The sequence below is a fragment of the Homo sapiens genome, chromosome 7 (assembly GCF_000001405.40).
Source record: "Homo sapiens chromosome 7, GRCh38.p14 Primary Assembly".
In the NCBI taxonomy this organism is placed as follows: Eukaryota; Metazoa; Chordata; class Mammalia; order Primates; family Hominidae; genus Homo; species Homo sapiens.
The window spans coordinates 541048-560948 of record NC_000007.14 but is presented as its reverse complement, the minus strand read 5'-3'; the positions used below and the strand labels follow the sequence as shown (position 1 = coordinate 560948).

The 19901-nt window shown below is 58.4% G+C and overlaps 1 protein-coding gene across 11 annotated transcripts in view, besides 1 other annotated feature; it reads left to right on the top strand.

Moving 5' to 3' along the window:
• PRKAR1B (protein kinase cAMP-dependent type I regulatory subunit beta) overlaps nucleotides 1-11752 on the top strand; it is a 179738-nt gene extending 167986 nt beyond the window's left edge. For 6 of the 11 annotated variants that reach the window (XM_047420607.1, NM_001164759.1, XM_047420608.1 and 3 more), the window contains 2 exons: nucleotides 9479-9560; nucleotides 10347-11752. In XM_047420607.1, coding sequence (XP_047276563.1) covers nucleotides 9479-9560; nucleotides 10347-10519 — 255 coding nt within the window. In that variant the 3' untranslated portion in view covers nucleotides 10520-11752. The remainder of the gene's footprint in view (nucleotides 1-9478; nucleotides 9561-10346) is intronic. The other 5 variants (NM_001164758.2, NM_001164760.2, NM_001164761.2 and 2 more) reach the window with 1 other exon arrangement.
• Nucleotides 8004-8504: an enhancer, noted in NCBI's record as "H3K4me1 hESC enhancer chr7:592082-592582 (GRCh37/hg19 assembly coordinates)". NCBI's record gives its function as "activates a minimal SCP1, AML or CMV promoter by ChIP-STARR-seq in naive H9 embryonic stem cells {active_cell/tissue: H9 hESC(naive)}" and the evidence as "EXISTENCE:reporter gene assay evidence [ECO:0000049][PMID:30033119]".

Sequence of the window (19901 nt, the reverse complement as noted above, 5' to 3'; positions counted from 1 at the left end):
AACGTAAAGGCACTGGAGTGAGCCTGAATTTTCCAGGCTCTGAGGAGTCTCACTGGAGGGAGGAACGTGTCGTGGCCCCCGTGGCCCTGAGAAGGCATTTGGTGTCTGTCCACTCTTACGTTCACTCATGGCCGCCGCCCTCATGATGACTGTCCCGTTTGACGTGCTGGAACTCCTGGAGCTGGGGTAATCTGGCCTCACCGCCGCTCTGTAGCATTGGTTGGCGTTGTCCCATATAACAGATGAGGCAGCTGAGGCTGGAGCAGCTATGGGCCTTGCCTGAGACTGGCTGGTGCATTGCAGAGCTGAGGCTGGACCCAGACTCTTCGACTCTTGGTCTGCGGCCCGATTTTGGTGCTGATGACCTGGCCCAAGGTGCAGGACAGGAGCCTCCTCAGTCCCATTTGTTCCTGGCCAGGTCAGGGGGAAGCCTGGGTTAAGCTCGTGTGTTGAACACCTTTCCAGCTGTGCTTAATCTTTTAGTTACTTTTTAATTTATGGAAAGTGATAGCAGTTTCCATTTATGGTCGTGATACAAAGTTTCTTTTAAAATATATTTATTATTATTATTATTATTATTATTATTATTTGTATTAGTTCATTCTAACACTGCTATGAAGAAATGCCCGAGACTGGGTAATTTATAAAGAAAAGAGGTTTAATCGCTTGTGATTCTGCCTGGCTGGGGAGGTCTCAGGAAACTTACAATCATGGTGGAAGGTACCTCTTCACAGGGCAGCAGGAAAGAGAATGAAAGCTGAACAAAGCGGGGAAAGCCCCTTATAAAACCGTCACCCCATGCCATGATTCAGTTACCGCCCCCTGGGTCCCTCCCACAACACGTGGGGATTATGGGAGCTACAACTCAAGATGAGATTTGGGTGGGGACACCGCCAAACCTTGTCATTATTAGAGACAGGGTCCTGCTTTGCTAGCCAGGCTGGTCTCCAACTCCTGGGCTGCAGTGATCCTCCTGCCTCAGCCTCCTGAGTAGCTGGGACCACAGGTACCACCACGTCCAGCTAATTTACTTTTTGTAGAGATGGGGTCTTGCCATGTTGCGCAGGCTGACCTTGAACACCTGGGCTCAAGGAATCTTCCTTCTTTGGCCTCCCAAAGTATTGGGATTACAGGTGTGAGCCACCGTGCCCAGCCTAAAATATTTATTTAAGTAAAATGAATATATTTGTCTCTTGTAGAACTTCACATAAGGGACTTGGGGTGCATGTGCCTTTTCCTGGCCTCCCTGACTCCACAGCGAGCCTCGAGACTCCGGCTCACTGCCTGCACACGCGTGTGGCGTCCCGCATAGGAAGAGATGGGCTTCCTAGTGTGTCTCCTCCCGGGGGGTGTCCAGACGGTCTCTGGTCTGGGCTATGAGCACAGCGGGCCTGGGCTCCGGTGCTTCCCTGGCGTCGGCCCCAGATCGGGGTCCCCTCGTATCGGGGAGCCCTTCCTGCACCACTCGGGGCTCCTGCCGGGCATGGGGAAGTGCGACCACCAGCCCTGAGACGGAGCAGATCCCTTCTGACTGCCCTGAGCCCCCGTCCTGGCCCTGCCCCCTGCTCCAGCCTCTTCTCCCAGCCGTGGCACCAGCCCCTCTCTCGGCCTGGGATGCGGCCCCCACGTCTTCTCCGGCTGGCTCCTCCTGCCCTCGAGGTCTCAGCTCAGAGGCCACTTTGCTGGTGGCTGGGCCTTCACTGGCCGCCCCCTGAACTGATTCTCGGCTCTCCTGGCGTCAGGCACCTGTGGCCTTGTGGGTTGTGTCTGCCTCCCCTCTGGGTGCCGAGTCCTGGTCCGGGCAGGGATGTGGCCTCCTCGTTCACGGCCGTAGTCCTAGCCCTAATGCAGTAGACGAGTGACTGAAGGCGAGCCTGGAAGAATAAACAGAAGGGAGATGCATCGGCAGCTCCGAGGAAGGCAAATGGTCTGTGTCCATGGGAACCTGGCTGGGACGGGGCCGCCGTCCACGCCTGTGGCACCAGGTTCTCCCTGGAGCACTGGACCCAAAGGGAGGGACCCTGTCTCCCCGTCTGCCCCCAGTTCTGTGATCCGACTGACCTCTGAGCCGAAGCGTTGGAGGCTCACGGCCGGGCAAGGGAGGCTGTGACAAGGGACAGGAAGCCGGGGCCCCTTCCAAGGAAGCTGATGCTAAGACCTTGGCTGGTTTTCCTTCTTCTTTTTTTTTCTTTTTTTGAGATGGACTTTCGCTCTTGTTGCCCAGGCTGGAGTGCAGTGGCGCAATCTCGGCTCACTGCAACCTCCCCCTCTCGGTTCATTCAATCCTCCTGCCTCAGCCTCCCCAGTAGCTGGGATTACAGGCGCGCACCACGCCTGGCTAATTTTTGTATTTTTAGTAGAGACAGAGTTTCACCATGTTGGCCAGGCTGGCCTCGAACTACTGACCTCAGGTGATCTGCCCACCTCGGCCTCCCAAAATGCTGGGATTATAGGAGTGAGCCACCACGCCTGGCCTGGTTTTCCTTCTGATCAAAGTCATACCTGCCCATTGTAGAAAATCAAAAAGTTGATTTTGGTTTTGATTTTATAGGAAATTTTATTATTTCTTCTTCTCCTCCTCCTCCTCCTTCTCCTCCTTCCTTTTTTTTTTTTTTTTTTTCCTGAGACAGGGTCTCGCTCTGTCACCCAGGCTGGAGTGCAGTGGTACAATCATGGCTCACTGCAGCCTCGACCTCCTGGGCTCAAGCGATCCTCGCACCTCAGCCTCCTGAGTAGCTGGGACCACAGGCACATGCCAGCACACCCCAGCATTTTTGTGTTTTTTTTCTTTTTTTTTTTAAGAGATGGGGTCTCACTATGTTGCCCAGGCTGGTCTCAAACTTCTGGCCTCAAGCCGCCCTCCCACCTCGGCGTCCCAAAGTGCTGGGATTACAGGCGTGAGCCACTACGTCTGAGCTGATTTTGCAGGAAATTTTAAAAAATCAAAATAGTCGCAAGGAAAATGAATCCTTTGTGATTCCCCTGCTGCGGACAACGGCCAGGGCAGGACGTTCTGCGGCGTCTCCTCCCAGGTTTGTGCCACTGGGTTATTTTTAGAGTCGGGTTAGAATCAATAGTGAGAAAATTTGGGGAGTATGACCTAGAGTTTTGGCAAGCATGTTTTTCCAGCCCAAAAAAACCCAGACTCTCAATCCTCCTGAGAGCGTCTGTGCTGCCTCGTGGCAGTCTGGGAAGTGGAGTTGGACAGGAGTGTCTATTTCCAGAGGTTTCGACAGCTTGAGAGACCGTGGTGCGTCTCAAGCTGGGCCTCCCGGAAACTGAGGGTACGTGGTGGTTGCGGCGGCCGCCCATGTCGTGGGAGTGCTGGATTCTGCCAGCTGGAGGTCGGCACCCCTGCCCCTCCTGGTCCATGTCCATCCTGTTTCTCCCTCCTCTGCTGTTCCCTGTCTTTCTGCTGTCGGACTCAGGCATCTGGCACAGATGTCCATGGGTGCGCAGGCACAGGACGGGGACTGTCACCACCGTCAGTGTGCAGGGTGGTGTATCAGCTAGGGAGAGAGGCCGAGCTGCTGTAACAAACAGTCCCTGCAACAGTGCGGTGGAAAGAACGGAGAAATGTCTCCCTTTCTTGAGAAGTGATGGTTGTGTGTCAGGTGGGTGGGTGTCTGTCCCATGTGGCCCTCCCGAGTCGTGGCTCCACCAGGGGCCTGGTCACGGGTGTCACGCGGCTGAGACGTGAGGAAGGGATTCGAACCCAGGTCTGCTGGGCTCTGAGGGTCCTGCCTCTTTCCCTCCTTGGCTGCTGATCCTGGTGGAGATGGGAGGGCAGGAGGAGGGAGTCCCGGGGCCACCAGACTCCGCTGAGGAGACCGCGCTCCCCTCCTCCCAGTTCCTCCCCGACTCTGGTTGGAAACGGAAGCTGCCCGGCCCAGGCCGGGGGTGGGAGGGGCCGCACCTGGTTCTCTGCAGCTCAGGAGGTCAGAGGTGGGGGTCGGCTGTGGGAGGGCAAGGGGCAGCTGAGTGGCCGCGTCTAGTTCACGTGAACTTGGTAGCTTTGCACGGGGACTCTTCAGTACCCTGGGAGCCGGGGGAGGCACCTGTGTCTTTTATGACGCAGACTTTCCCGGCCCCAGGGACAGAGGCAGCGTCCCCCTCTCCATTCCAGAAACATGGCATCTGAGCTCAAGACACAGCTCTACTGGGGTGTGTTTGGAGAAGGTGAAAGGATGAACTTGACCTTAAAGGTGGAGGGTCGACGTGCCGGAGGTGCGTGGGGAACTGTTCCCGATCCACAGGCACCAAACACCTTCCTCTGGCCTCGGCCCCTCCTGTCCAGCCGCGCCACAGCCCCTTCCGGGAGGGATGAACGCGGACGCCTCGGGGACCGACCCCTTTGCCTCACGGGTGGGGCCCCTGCCGGCCGTCTTGGCAGTGACTCCTAAGAATACAAATTCCAAAAGCAGAATGACTCCGTGCGGAAGACTGTTCCGCGTTATTGACGGTGTTTTACCCCTTTATGTGACTCCGTTCCTGGACGTCCCCAGAGGCCCTTCTAATTATCCGAAGGCCGCCGGTTGCAGGGTTGCATTCACATCAGGCAAACCCACGTCGCAGTGGAAACTCAGTGAAGCTGTGTTTGGGGGTGATTGGGGTCGGGGTGGGTGGGTTTGCTTTGGTGGCCTCTGGGATGCCTCTGAGGGGTCGGTTTCCAGAAGTTTCCTCCGTGGCCTAAAACGGTGCCTGGCACGTGGTGGGTGTCCAGTCACTCTTGGTGGGAAGCACGAATGCCCCCACCTGAGCTGTGTTCTGGTCAGGGGCTTCATGGTGGTTCTCACAAAGGCTTCAGGGGTGCAGGGTGGCCTGGGGGTGCCTGGGAGCTTGGAGACAGCCAGGAGCCGAGCGTCCTTGAAGCAAAATTCGTGCTGGCCACTCCCGGGGCATATGCAAGAGGGAGACAGGGGCCCGGAGGGGCCGCACTGCTGGGATGAGCATAGGAGGGATGAAGACGGCTTGTACCTGGCTGAGTCCCCGGAGCGGGGGCATCTGGTCATGCATTGAGGTGGGGGGCCTGGATGCAAGCCCACGCTGCCTGGGTCTGCCTCCCGGGCTCCCGTCTGCCAATTCGCAGCACCCCTCCTGCAACAGGGCCTGTGAGCCAGGTGTGCTGGCCACCACCACGGGTGACTGCAGCCTTCGGGTAGGGCTGGATGTCATCTGCTTGTGGAGGCAGCGGGACTCTGACTGTGTGGCCTTGGCCAAGTTGCTCAACCTCTCTGGGCTTCCATCTGCGAAGTGGAGAAATTCATGCCCCCCACAACATGCTGGGGCCCTGAAAAAGGGGGCATGTGAAGGTCTGGGGTGCAGCAGCTGCCCAGACAGTGGTCAGTCCCTCCCTGGTCGGGCTGGAGGGAAAGACAGCAGAGGTTTACAAAACACATCTCTCCAGAGCCTCAGAGGAGGGTCCAGCCTGAAGGTACCTGTGCATCCTTTCCTATCAGGGCGTGTGAAGAGTGAGAATGCCTCCAATTAAAAAAGTCATCCGTGTGGTAATTATGCTGCCGATTTCCAAATGGCCTCTAGGAGATGCCACCACTTAGAACCGGATTCCAGAGACCACCGAGCACGGCCAGTGTGCTCTTGCATCCAGACAGCGTGACTAGTGACAAAGTGTGGTGTGTCCGGGAGCAGTCGGCACAGCAGCCCCGTGGGGGCTCCCCGGACCCATCCCTGCCGCTTCCTTGCCGGCAGAATCCCAATCCTCAGCCCCTCCCCAGAGCGGGGCACGTCCAGTCCCATGGGTCATATTCCCCAGCAACTGGTTTAGGGCAAGCGTGAGACCCTCTCTGGCCAATGAGGAGTGAGGGGATGTTTCCAGGAGTTTCTGGAAGGGTTTCTCACTGCTGAGGGGAGAAGTGCAGGAGAAAGAGGTAGGTTCTGTCTTTCTGCTGATGGTGTAGGGGTGGCCTGTGGTGACTCCCGGAGCCACGGCAGCCTCTGTGCCCCCATGAGGGACCTGATTGAGGACCTTGCACCTCCCCGAGGTCCCAGAGCAGGAAGCAAGAGCAAGGCTGGGTCCCTGCCACCTCCGAGCCATGAAATGGGCCTGGGAGCCCTCCCCTATCTTCCGGCTCTGTGGGATCCGTGGCCTCCCCTGTCTTCCGGCTCTGCAGGATCCGTGGTCTCCCCTGTCTTCCGGCTCTGTGGGATCCGTGGCCTCCCCTGTCTTCCGGCTCTGTGGGATCCGTGGCCTCCCCTGTCTTCCGGCTCTGTGGGATCCGTGGCCTCCCCTGTCTTCTGGCTCTGTGGGATCTGTGGCCTCCCCTGTCTTCTGGCTCTGTGGGATCCGTGGCCTCCCCTGTCTTCCGGCTCTGTGGGATCCGTGGCCTCCCCTGTCTTCTGGCTCTGTGGGATCCGTGGCCTTTATTAGACCTTACCAGCCTCAATTTGGGTTTTCTGCTATTTGGGGTCAAAAGCACCTGAACATTGCTCCACACCCAGGTTTCACCAAGTAATCCTGTGAACCAGAGGCCGTCAGGTTCATCGCCTGGATTCTGAGAGAGGAAAATAATCCCAGCTGTGAAACAGAAAGTGTTAAAAATGGCCACAAAGGGAGCATCGATGACGTCTGTCCGCAAGGTCAGCGTGATGGGCTGTCCAGACAAATAACGCCGCTCACAGCGGCTCTCCTGTGCGGGGGCTTGGCCTGCTCCAGACCCCAGCTAACCAAATTTTCTCGCACCGAATTCTCAGAGTGGCCACAGCTTTGAAGACCAGGAAGCAGAGTTCTCACCTATGGGAAGGCTGGGGCCGGTGGCTTCAGAGCCCAGGAGTTTCACCCTCCGCCATCTGCCCCCACATGGGCCTCAGAGCCCAGAGCTGTGCCCGGGTCTGGCCTGAGCCAGTGCCAGGACTGGGAGGAGAGCTGGGAGCTGTTCCTGTGGGTGGGGGCCCACGGAGTCTTCCCTCTCTCCAGCGCCCGGGGTCTGAGTCTGTGGGCACCCGGCTGAGGGCACGCTCCCTGTCTCCCCCTGCCCACAGTGGCGGCACTCAGCCGCCCGGTCTGTTGTTTACACGTCCTGCTCATCCATCAGCTGGATTCATAAACACGGCAGAGGCCTGGGAGCCGAGTGGCCCCACGGCCGGATCAGGGGCCAGGGCAGCGGTCTGGCTGTCACAGGGGCTGCCAGTTGGTGCCTGGAGATTCTAGGCGTGGCGGGCACCAGCAGGGTCTCCTGACCCACATCTCTCCCAGACTGATGAGGTGGGGAGTTACTCATTAACCCAGGTACAGCCTGGCTGGCATTTGTTGAGGCTGGGTCTGGGTGAGCCAGGGTGAACCGAGCCCACCTTGAAATGAAGTGTTTGTTCTCCAAGAGCAGCTGCTCTCAGAGGGCCGCCGTCTGCCAGGCCGGCTGGGGCTGTGGGGACGTGATCCCTGGGTACCCGGATGGTGCCGTCTCCGGACCCTGGAGGGCCAGGCTGCAGGTGCTGCCACCTTCCTGGGCCTCAGCTTCCCCGGCTGTAAAATGGGATGGTGACATTCCTCACGCAGGTGCTGCACTTCTGCGGCAGACGCGGGGCCCTGCCTCCGGGGACTAGGGACCGGTCGGAGCGTGGTGCAGAGAGAGCTGCTCAGAGTGGAATTCGGGGAGTGTCTGAGGCCGGCGGCGTGCAGGGCCGGCGACAGAGCTACATTCATCAACACCTGCTGAGGGTGTTTGGTGTTGAGGACAGACCGTTTCCCCGGCTGTTCAGAGGAAGCTTCTCTAGTGTGTCTTCCCAGCGGCTCTAGTGTCAGCGGGACATTCCTAGGTTCCCGGCAGGCGGAGTCTCAGGGGGGACAGTGACACGGCAGCCCCGTCTGGCCACACAGCCCACGCTTTCCCTGTGCCAGGCCGCGGTTTCCACACCTGGGGCCCTGGAGGGACCAGAGTCCAGGGGACATTCAGCTACCCCAGCCCCGCCGTCCGCAGGCTGCATCTGTGCGTAGCACGTGCTGCGGCGGTGCCCTGTGATATGCTGCCCACGGCCTCTGTGTTAATCATTGATCTGGGCAACCCGCAGACCCCTCCCCACTTCCCCGTGTCGGGGGTCAGGAGGGAGCTTAGTAGGCATGTGACCCTGAGACAGCGCCCCCCTCCCCTTTCCCCGGGGAGGCCGGGATGGCTGGATGAGCTCCCAGTCCTTGAGAGTTGGTCCAAGGTCAGCTTGGAGACCGGCAGCCCTGTGACAAAGATACCGACCCCCAGGGAAGGTCCCAGCGCGTCCCCTCCCGGCTCCTCCGCTCGCCTCGGCAAAGGTGCGGGGGGCCAGTGAGTTCCATTTCGAGGAGCTGTGTGTCTGAACAAAAATGGGAGCTGGGCCAGGCCGGACGGTGGTCTCTGGGCAGGTCCCGCGGTGCTCAGATGCCCTGGTCACAGGTGCCGGGAACGGGAGAAGCAGCAGCATTGGATGTGGTGGTGGCAGTGGCTCTGGAGAAGGACCTGGGTGGGAGGTGGGGGTTTGGGTGGTGACGTGGTGATGGCAGTGGCTCTGCGGGAAGGACCTGGGTGGGAGGTGGGGGTTTGGGTGGTGACGTGGTGGTGGCAGTGGCTCTGGAGAAGGACCCGGGCGGGAGGTGGGGGTTTGGGTGGTGACGTGGTGGTGGCAGTGGCTCTGCGGGAAGGACCCGGGCGGGAGGTGGGGGTTTGGGTGGTGACGTGGTGATGGCAGTAGCTCTGGAGAAGGACCTGGGTGGGAGGTGGGGGTTTGGGTGGTGACGTGGTGGTGGCAGTAGCTCTGGAGAAGGACCTGGGCGGGAGGTGGGGGTTTGGGTGGTGACGTGGTGGTGGCAGTGGCTCTGGAGAAGGACCTGGGTGGGAGGTGGGGGTTTGGGTGGTGACGTGGTGGTGGCAGTGGCTCTGGAGAAGGACCTGGGTGGGAGGTGGGGGTTTGGGTGGTGACGTGGTGGTGGCAGTAGCTCTGGAGAAGGACCTGGGTGGGAGGTGGGGGTTTGGGTGGTGACATGGTGATGGCAGTGGCGCCGAGGGAAGGACCCGGGCGGGAGGTGGGGGTTTGGGTGGTGACGTGGTGGTGGCAGTGGCTCTGGAGAAGGACCTGGGCGGGAGGTGGGGGTTTGGGTGGTTACATGGTGGTGGCAGTGGCTCTGGGAGAAGGACCTGGGTGGGAGGTGGGGGTTTGGGTGGTGACATGGTGATGGCAGTGGCTCCGAGGGAAGGACCCGGGCGGGAGGTGGGGGTTTGGGTGGTGACATGGTGGTGGCAGTGGCTCTGGAGAAGGACCTGGGCAGGACATGGGGGTTTGGGTGGTGATGTGGTGGTGGCAGTGGCTCCAGGAGAAGGACCTGGGTGGGAGGTGGGGGTTTGGGTGGTGACGTGGTGTCGGCAGTGGCTCTGGGAGAAGGACCTGGGTGGGAGGTGGGGGTTTGGGTGGTGACCCCCTGTGGGGTGACCCCTCACGTGTGTCCCACCCTGCACCCGCCTGGCTGGCACTCACGTCTGTCCACCTCCACCCACAGGGCACCGCGTCCGTGCTGCAGCGCCGGTCCCCCAATGAGGAGTACGTGGAGGTGGGGCGCCTGGGACCCTCTGACTACTTCGGTGAGTCCAGTGGGCGTCCCCTCCCTCGCACGGCTGTGGCCATCTCATTTGGGGTCTCGGGAGGGGCCTGGAGGTGAGGAGCTGCTGGGGGGCTTCCCTGGGGCCTTGTAGTGGGGCTTGGCTGAGCCCCAGTGTGGCTGCAACAGAAGGCTCAGTCCTGTTCCCCCAAATTGAAGTCCCAGGGCCAGGTCTGGGTCCCCAGGAGCAACGAGCCCTGGACGTGGGGTCCCCCAGAGGGCATGACCTTGGGGGAGGCAGCCTCCTGCTTCTGGGATGAGGGGGCACAGTGTAGCCATCAGCCACCAGCATTCCTGCAGCTGGGGGTGGGTGGGCTTGAGGGAGGCCCAGGCCTACCTGGGTGCACCTGGGCATTCCTGCAGCTGGGGGTCTGGGTCCTGAGGGAGGCCTGGGCACACCTGGGCATTCCTGCAGCTGGGGGTCTGGGTCCTGAGGGAGGCCTGGGCACACCTGGGCATTCCTGCAGCTGGGGGTCTGGGTCCTAAGGGAGGCCTGGGCACACCTGGGCATTCCTGCAGGATTGCCCAAAAAAGTGCAGGACAATGGCTAGCTGAACGTGAATTTCAGATAATAAACAATTCATTAGCATAAGTATATCCCAAATAGTTCTCGGGCTATACTTATGCTACAAGTTTGTTTGAAATTCACGTGTGCCTGGCACATCCTATCCTTAAAAGGGAGCCGCTTCCAGGGTCCTGGACATAATCTTTCCCTGCTGCAGCCTCAGGACCCCCAGGCCCAGCCCTGACCTCTCTCTTCAACCCCCAGGGGAGATTGCACTGCTGCTGAACCGGCCCCGGGCGGCCACTGTCGTGGCCCGGGGGCCCCTCAAGTGTGTGAAGCTGGACCGGCCCCGCTTCGAGCGTGTGCTGGGGCCCTGCTCTGAGATCCTCAAGAGGAACATTCAGCGTTACAACAGCTTCATCTCCCTCACCGTCTGAGCACAGCTCCCGCCCTGCAGCCCCAGCTCCCCAGTGTGGTGGCCGTGCCCTGCTCGTCTGTGTCGGGGGCCCGGGAGCCGCTGTGTGAGGTGTGGGCCGGGTGGGGCTGGGTCCCGGCAGCGTGAGGACTGCCCCTTCCCCGGACTCACTTTTTGGAATAAATGATCACCTTGTGCATTTCCAAATCAAAGGACAAGCGGACAAAATGCATCCCAAGATCAAGGAAGGGACAGGCCAGCTTCCTCCCCACACGCCTCCCCGGCTGCCTCTGTGGGCTTCTCCTGGGGGGCCCACCCCACCCCTGCCAGTCTCCTGGAGATGCTTGAGGATCGGTCCTCCCCAGAACCAGGCCAGGACGTTGCCCCTGGGGCCTGGTGACCCTGTGAGGTCAGGTCCCCCAGATTGAGGTCTGAGTGTGGGCAAGTGTGTCAAAAGGGGCTGCCCCCCAGGGGAGATGAGGCTGAGAGCAGGGAGTTGAGGCCGAAGAAGTCAAGGCCCCTCCCGCAAATGTGTACCCCTGCCCGCGCCACTGCACCCCGCCGCACCCCCACCTCCCCCGGGGGCCCTGCTGCGGATGCCGGAGTGGGAGAGTCTCTGAGCTGTGAGATTGATCTTGCCCCTAATTGGAGAGGAAGCCGGGCGCCAAGACACACGGGGCTCCTGCCTTGGGAGCCAGGGCCGCGGCCGCAGGTAGACCCCAGTAGGGGGGGCCGGGCTCGAAGTTCCTTTGGGAGGGGCTGGCGGGACTCCAGCAGGCCGTCCTCACCTTTCTTAGAAAGTCCACCCAGGGCAAGTTGATGTTGGGGGAAAGCAGAAGTCAAGCCAGCCGCGGGCCCCACACGCCCCGACCCGCTCAACCGACTTGTCCCTTAAATGTGTCTTGGATCCCGCAGTGATGACGTGAGCCAGCCAGGCCCGAAAGGGTGAGGCCAGTGCAGAGAAGCTTCCCAGGGGATTCCTGGGTTCCCCCGAAAGACAAGCGAGGTCATTGCAGTTCACCTGATGTTGCTCCTGTCCCGTGCGTCCCGGGGAGGCTGTCCTTGGTCCGAGGCTGCTCGTTGCAGCCCCTCCCCTGCTGGCGGTTACGATGCGTGGGGTCCCCCTCCCCACCCAGCCCCGGCCACGTCGCCGTGTCCCGCCTGTGCCTGTGACGTCCCTGTGGACCTGTGAGCCATCCCCCCCCTTATCTCTGCTCTGAATACTGCATGAAGCATTAAACGTGCAATGAAGTACCTCTTCCCGGCTCGGGAGGCCTTGGTCTGAAGTCTTTTGTAGATAAGGGTTTTTCTTTTTTTTATGGTGGTAAAATACACATAACACAAAACTTACCATTTTAACCACTTTTACGTGTGCAGTGCAGTGGCGTTATCCACACCGCGGTGCAGCCATCACCACTGTCCATGTCCAGCCCTTTCATCTTCCTAAACGGAAACTCTGCACCTGTTAAACAACAGCTCCTGCTTCCAGCCCAAGGAGCCACCCGTCCACTCTCTGTAGCCCTGTGTATCCAGACGTTCTCATTTGAGCGTTTTCAGTATACAGGAGGGTCTGTGTGTAGCCCTGTGTATCCAGACGTTTTCATTTGAGCGTTGTCAGTATACAGGAGGGTCCGTGTGTAGCCCTGTGTATCCAGACGTTCTCATATGAGCGTTGTCAGTATACAGGAGGGTCTGTGCTGCCCACGCCGTATCCCAGGGTGGCTAAGTAGACGGGGCCCAGCTCCCTGTCTCTGTACTGTGAGGTTCCATGTCTCACCGTGGTCCCGGGTGGCTCTGTTCCCTGTGGCTCTTTCGTGGGCCCTGACGTGGACACCCAGATCCCAAGGCTGCCCCGGGAGGGGTTGGGGTGTATCCAGGACCAGGGTGCCCTCAACCTCTGGATGGGATGGTAAACTTGGGGTCCAAGGGCAGGCACAGCTCACTCATGCACCTCAAGCCCCCGGGATCTCTTGCAGGCTGGGCACTGGGTAGGCCTGCAGGAAATATTTCAATAAATAAACAACAGTGAATAAGGGTTGCAGGAGAGAAACTTTGGGAGATTCAGGCTCTGACATCCATAGGCCAAACACAAAGGAACTTTGACCCAAGTCTCACACCTTATGCAAAAATTAACTCAAAATGGATCACAGACTTAAATATGAAACTATAGGGAAATTGCTCTTAGACTTGACACCGGTCCATGAAAGGGAGATTTGATAAATTGGAATTCATCAAAATTAAAAACTGGTGCCTGCAACAGACCTCGTGAAGAAGATGAAAATACGAACCAGGGACTGGGAGAAAACATTTTCAAACCACGTGTATCGCAGAGAAGACCAATACATAGAATCGTTAAAGAACTCTCAGAACTCGGCCGGGCGCGGCGGCTCACGCCTGTAATCCCAGCACTTTGGAAGGCCGAGGCAGGTGGATCACCTGAGGTTGGGAGTTCGAGACCAGCCTGGCCAACATGGGGAAACCCCATCTCTACTAAAAACATAAAAACTAGCCGGGCATGTTTTGGTGGGTGCCTGTAATCCCAGCTACTCGGGAGGCTGAGGCAGGAGAATTGCTTGAACCCAGGAGAAGGAGGTTGCAGTGAGCCGACACGGTGCCACTGCACTCCCTTCTTGGTGACAGAGTGAGACTCCGTCTCAAAAAAAAAAAAAAAACCTCTCAAAACTCAACCATAAAATGCAAACAATCCAACTAGGTTATGAAGAGGCACTTCCCCACGAGGACATGCGGACGGCAGTGAACACAGGGAAAGATGTCAGACCACCAGCCAGTAGGAAAATGCAAATTAAAGCCACGGTAAGACACCCCCACACACCTATTATCAGAATGGCTAGAATGAGAAACAGCAGGCCGGGCACGGTGGCCCATGCCTGAAATCCCAGCACTTTGGGAGGCCGAGACAGGCGGATTACAAGGTCAGGAGATCGAAACCAGCCTGGCCAATATGGTGAAACCCTGTCTCTACTAAAAATACAAAAAAAATTAGCCAGGTGTGGTGGCAGGCGCCTGTAATCCCAGGTACTTGGGAGGCTGAGGCAGGGAGAATCGCTTGAACCCAGGAGGCGGAGGTTGCAGTGAGCTGAGATCATGCCACTGCACTCCAGCCTGGGTGACAGAGTGAGATCCTGCCTTAAAAAGAAAACAAAAAAAAACAAAAAAAAACCACACACAGCAGCACTCTGTCCTGTAGAGAAACAGGATCACTCAGACATTGCTTCTGGGAACATAAGATGGGGCAGTCACTCTGGAAAATAGTTCGTAGTTTCTTAACAACACAAAAATCCAAACTAAGCATGCAATTACCATACAACACATCACATGGCATTCTTGGGCATTTATCCCAGAGAGTGAAGACACAGACCCGCACACTCATGAACACAGCAGCTTGACTCAGAGAGGCTCAAGCTGGAACCAACCGTGGCATCCTTCAGCGGGGGGAACAAACCGTGGTACATCCATGCTCCGAAATGCTACTCGGCACCGAAAAGGAACTAGCAGTGTGCCCAGCAACCAGGATGGAATTGTCAGGAACGATGCTGAGGGAAAGAAGCCGTGCACTCTGCAATTCCGTTTACACGACATTCTGCGGATGCCAAAATCAGGGCCAGCAGTTGAGGAGGAGGCAGTGTGGCTATAAAAAGGCAGCTGGGGCCGGGCGCGGTGGCTCACGCCTGTCATCTCAGCACTTTGGGAGGCTGAGGTGGGCGGATCACCTGAGGTCAGGAGTTTGAGACCAGCCTGGGCAACATGGTGAAACCCTGTCTCTACTAAAAAGTACAAAAATTAGCTGGGGGTGGTGGTGAGCACCTGTAATCCCAGGGCTTTGGGAGAGGCGGGCAGATCACCTGAGGTCAGGAGTTGGAGACCAGCCTGGCCAACATGGCGAAACCTCATCTCTACTAAATACAAAACTAGCCAGGCGTGGTGGTGCATGCCTGTAGTCCCAGCTACTTGGGAGGCTGAGGTAGGGGAATCGGTTGAACTCCGGAGGCGGAGGTTGCAGTGAGCCAAGATCCCGCCACTGCACTCCAGCCTGGGCGACAGCGAGACTTTGTCAAAAAATAAAAATAAAAAGGCAGCCGTAGCTGTTCTGTGGCTCGGGCATCCATGTTGAGATCTGGCTGTGATATGCTGGGGTAGCTTAGCAAGATGTTAAACCACTGGGGGAAACTGGGTGAAGGGTGCACCCATCTCTCTGTATTTTGGGGTGGTTTTTTATGAGACAGGGTCTCCATTTGCCACCCAGGCTGGAATGCACTGGTGTGATCACAGCTCACTGCAACCTTGACTGCCTGGGCTCAAGTGATCCTCCTACCTCAGCCTCTCAAGCAGCTGGGACTACAGGCAGTCACCACCATGCCCAGCTAATTTTTAAATTTTTTGTAGAGTCAGGGTCTCACTATGTTGCCCAGGCTGGTCTCAAACTTCTGGCCTCAAGCGATCCTCCCACCTCGGCCTCCTGAGTAGCTGGGACCACAGGCATGTGCCACCATGCCCAGCTTAATTTTTTTTTTTAATGATCATTTGTAGAGACAGAGTCTAACCATGTTGCCCAGGCTGGTCTCAACCTCCTGGGCTCAAGTGATCCTCCCCCCTCGGCCTCTCAAAGTGCTGGAATTACAGGCATGAGCCACTGCGCCCAGCCAGGACATATGTTTTCACTTGTCTTGGGTCAATACTGAGGCATGGAAGGGCTGGATCGCACAGTAAGTGTGTGTTTCACTTACGAGAAATTGCCGAACCCTTCTCCAAAGTGGCCCCATCACGTTGCCTTCCCGCCAGCAGTGTGGGGGCGTCGCAGGTGCCCCGCATCCTCACCAGCACTTGATGTAATCAGGCTTTCTAATTTTGGCAGTTCTGATGGGTGTAGTTGTATCTCGCCGTGGTTGTAATTGCATTTCCTGATGACGGACGACGTGAAGCATCTCTTCATGTCTGTATTGACTGCAGATCTTCTTTCGTGAAATGTCTGCTCAAAATCTGCCCATTTACAGAAATTGGGCTGTCTTCTTATCACTGGGCTGGAGGAGGTCTTTGTGTATTCTAGACATAGCTCCTTCGTCAGACGCACACACTGCAAATACTTTCTCCCAGCCTGCAGCTGGCCTTTTCATGTTCTTAAATGATGTCTTCTAAATAGCAAAAGTCTTTAGTTTTTATAGAGTCCAATTTATCCACCTTTTTTTTGGTTCAACGTCCTATTTTAAAAATTGCAAGGCGAGGTGGCTCATGCCTGTAATCCCAGCACTTTAGGAGGCGGAGGTGGGAAGACTGCATGAGGCCAGGAGTTCGAGCCTGGGCAACATAGTGAGACCCTATGCCCCCCCCCAAAAAATTGTTTAAAATAGCCAGGCGTGGTGGTGCATACCTGTAGTCTCAGCTACTCAGGAGGCTTAGGCAGGAGGATTGCTGGAGTCCAGGTGGTGGAGGCTGTGGTGAGCTATGATCATGTCACCGCACTCCCGGGTGACAGAGTGAAATCCTGTCTCAGAAAAGTAAATAAATAAAAATAAAAAATCATTGCCTGCTCCAAGGTGGCCAGGCAGTGTTTACAGAACTCCTGATGTGCGCCTGGCGCTGAACTCAGCCCTAGAGATATAGCAGAAAACAGCTGTCTTGGTGCTAACGTTCTAGTGGGGGCACCCCCTTCTCTGTCCTGAAGCCCCGTGGAGGCCCCTTTCCAGCCCCTGTTCCCCAACACCACCCAGACAGAAGCCCTGCAGGCCCCGCCAAGTTTCCCTCTGCCCTTGCTGTGTGAGCTTGGGCAAACCCCTTGGCCTCTCTGTGCCTCGCCCTCTCTGCTCTGATATAGCCTAGGAATGCACATCCCCCCTCCAGTGTGTCGGGAAGAGAACGAAGTGGGAACCTTACCTTACCCAGGAAGTCTTACCTGGGGTGAGCTCAGGTGGGGCCCAGGCAAGGGCTGGGTCTGGGGGCTGTGGTGTGGGGAGAAACGAGTGACCTTAGGCAGGCTCAGCCCCAGAGAGAGTCAGAGGCTTCCCTGCCTGGGGGAGGCCGCCCGGAAGCCTCGGACCCCTTGCCTGCCCTGCACAGCCTGACTCCCAGCATCCTGTGGGCCTGAAGGGAGGCTGCTAAATAGCAAAAGGTCCCGTGCAAGGAACAGATGAGGAAACAGAGGTTCCAGCGTGCAGAGGTTGGCCTAGGGCCACCCAGAAGGCAGGTGTAACTGGAAACGCTGCTCCTCGGCCAGCCTGGGCCCCACCTGCCTGTCTGGTGCCACCAGCCAAGTCTCTGACAGACACAGCAGACACTGGGCCCTCGGGTGGGTCCCCAGGACTCGGCCTGGAACCACTGAGAACATCCAGGATGGACAACCTCGCTGGCCTCTGCCCCTTGCTGGCCATGGGGGCAGGGAAACCGCTTCCCCTGGGGCAGGAGGCAGACCAGTGGGGACTCATACACCTGCTGTCCTGACAAAGCACTGGCTCATTTGTTTATCTGTTGATTCATTCATTCATGTTTGTCCATTCATTCCTTTAGCCATTCGTTCATTTCTTCATTCATTAGTTCATTCCTTCATTTGTTCACTCATTCCGATTCCTTTTACAGTCTGAGCCCCTTTCACACATTCCTGGCAGTTGGGAGGTGGCCTAGCTTTCCCCAGAAAGACAGTTTTCCAGAGGCTGGAATTCTAGCCAAAGGATTCCAAGCAGGGTGGACTTTCTGTTGGGTCCAGAAGCCAGCAGGTGACTGTAGGCTCCTGTCACTATTCTAGATGCAGGGGCTTTGCCTGGGGCTGCCCAGCCCTGCCCGATATGGACCCCAAGCCTGGACCTCTCAGGGCCTCAGCTTTCCCGTCTGTAAGATGGGTGTCACGACCCATCCAGGCTGTTGGTGGAATGAGCTAATTACTGGCCGTAAGAGGCTCGGCAGGGGTCCCAGGCTGAACAGTGGCACCGGCCCACGCGCCCTGCTGGGGTGAGCTGGCCTCTGGGGACTGGGCTTGGCCGAGGCCCCTCCAGACCACGGACAGTCCCGGCCTCACCTCCCCTGGCTCAGGGTGGCTGAATCAGCCGGCGGGGGTGACTCACTTTGAGGCCAGGCAGTTTCCTCCCGGGCCCCCCGGCTGCCACGCTGGGGAGACAGGCAGGCCCTGCCATATGGGGCCTGGGACTTGGGGGTGATTTCATGTCTGGAGGTCGGGCCAGGAGGCCCTCGGCAGGGGTGGCTCCGGGATCCTGGGCCCCACCCTTCGGAGCTCCATTCGGCCCCAAGGGCTCTGGCCTAGGAGACTCCCCGGTCCAGATGGGCTGTGGGCCTGCCCTGGCCTCGTCAGAGTCCAGCTCATCCTTGCCCCTTCCAGAGCTACCAGCCACGCTGACCTCTCTCTCCCCTCTTGGGCCGCTCTTGCCTCCTGGAATGTGACCAAATTAGGCGGCTGGTGACTAACTTTCCTACCCGAGCTCCACCTCCAGTTGGTCAAAGGATTTCCCTTCCTCGAGGGTTCCTCTCGTCTGGTTCTAACTTCTCCACCAAGTGCAGGGAGGCCTTCCCCTCACCCCTCAGTCTGGGCCTGCCCCTGGCCTGCTTGGGGGCCACGAAGGCTCTCAGAGGCTGCTCATGGGAACAGCTTTACAGTCAGATCTTGCAGGCACGCAGCGCGTTGTATAATCCACCCATAGGGCTTTCTTCAGCCAGGCAGAAGGTCACTGGGTCGGGTTCCACTGATCCCAGCAGGGGGTCTGCTTGGGGACGGAGCCCCGTGTCACCGCTGGAGACGTCCCTTAGAATTAAGACTGTCAGCCCCTCACCAGCCTCCTTAGCCAAACATTGTTTTCACTTGCGCAGTTGGGGAAATTGACTGTTGTATCTCAGAAATGCACTTGAAAAGGAGCCTGGCGATCCCCGGCCTGGGATGCTGCGGCCCTGCCCGGGCTGGCTGGCGTGCGCTGTGCTGGGTAAAGCAGAGAATTACACGGTCACCTAACGTGCCTCAAACCCTAGTCCCAGCTCTTCCTTGCTGTGTGGCCCCAGGCACGTTCCTTAACTCCTCTGACACTGCTCATCTCTAAAGTGGGGTCATAATGTTTGCCCCGTGGGGTTGGAGGTGAGAGTGAAGCAAGACTGCGCAGGTGAAGCTGGTTGCAGGGGGTTGGAGGTGAGCTGACGCGAGACTGCGCAGGTGAAGCTGGTTGCAGGGGGTTGGAGGTGAGCGTGACGCGAGACTGCGCAGGTGAAGCTGGTTGCAGGGGGTTGGAGGTGAGGGTGAAGCGAGACTGCGCAGGTGAAGCTGGTTGCGTGGGGTTGGAGGTGAGCTGACGCGAGACTGCGCAGGTGAAGCTGGTTGCAGGGGGTTGGAAGTGAGCTGACGCGAGACTGCGCAGGTGAAGCTGGTTGCGTGGGGTTGGGGGTGAGCTGACGCGAGACTGTGTAGGTGGAGCTGGTTGAATGGGGTCTGGTGCAGAGGACATTCACGGCTGTGGAGCTGCTGTCGCGTATGACGTCTCTGTCACACCCAACAGTGATGGGAACTGGGCCCTCCCCACGTCCGGCATGTGCCTCCCGGAGCTTCTGCTGTGTGCGCCATGTCCTTCAGCTCCCAGTGGGCCCGGTGGGCCTGCAGTCATCCTGGAATACTGCCTGCTCCTACTCTTCAAGGCCTCTGCGTGCCCCACCCTGAGCACAGCAGCTGGAAGTGAGGCCTCCTCTCCTATCCTCCTATTACCTAAGCCAAGCGTCTCCCCACCTGTGGCTGGCCCCGAGAACTCCCTGACGAGGGACGCCCAGGTGCCTCTCAGCGGCCCCCAGTTTTGGAAAAGCGGCAAACGTCTCCATGGACGCAGCCTGTCCTGTGGCCCTTCCTCGATCTGTCGGGTGATTGCTGTGTGCATCACACTCCAAAACGTGGTGGCACGAAACAGACGCCTCATGTTCACTACGGATGCTGCCCTGCAGACCTCAGACAGGGCCCGGTGAGTGGCGCTTGTGTGCTCCGTGATGCTTGGGGTCTGGGCTCAGCAGACTCCCTGGGGGTGGGGTAGGGGGCTCAGCGGGCTCCCTGGGTGTCGGGGTGGGTGGGGGCGCTCAGTGGGCTTCCTGTGGGTGGGGTGGGGGTGGGGGGCTCAGCGGGCTCCCTGGGAGTGGGGGAGGGGGCTCAGCAAGCTCCCTGCAGGTGGGGGTGGGGGGCTCAGCGGGCTCCCTGGGGTTGGGTGGGGCGGCGCCTACATCCTGTGTGGCTTGGGCTTCCTCCCAGCATGGTGGCTCTAGTGGAGCTAGATTTCCCTCGAGACGTCTGAGGGCTCCAAAAGCCAGCTGGTTCCAGCCAGCTGTTAGCGTTGGGGACTCGGGCCCTCAGGGAGCCCCTGTTCCAGCAGGCAGGGTGTGAGCTGCGTGGCCATTTGCGACCGAGTCTCAGAGGCCACAGA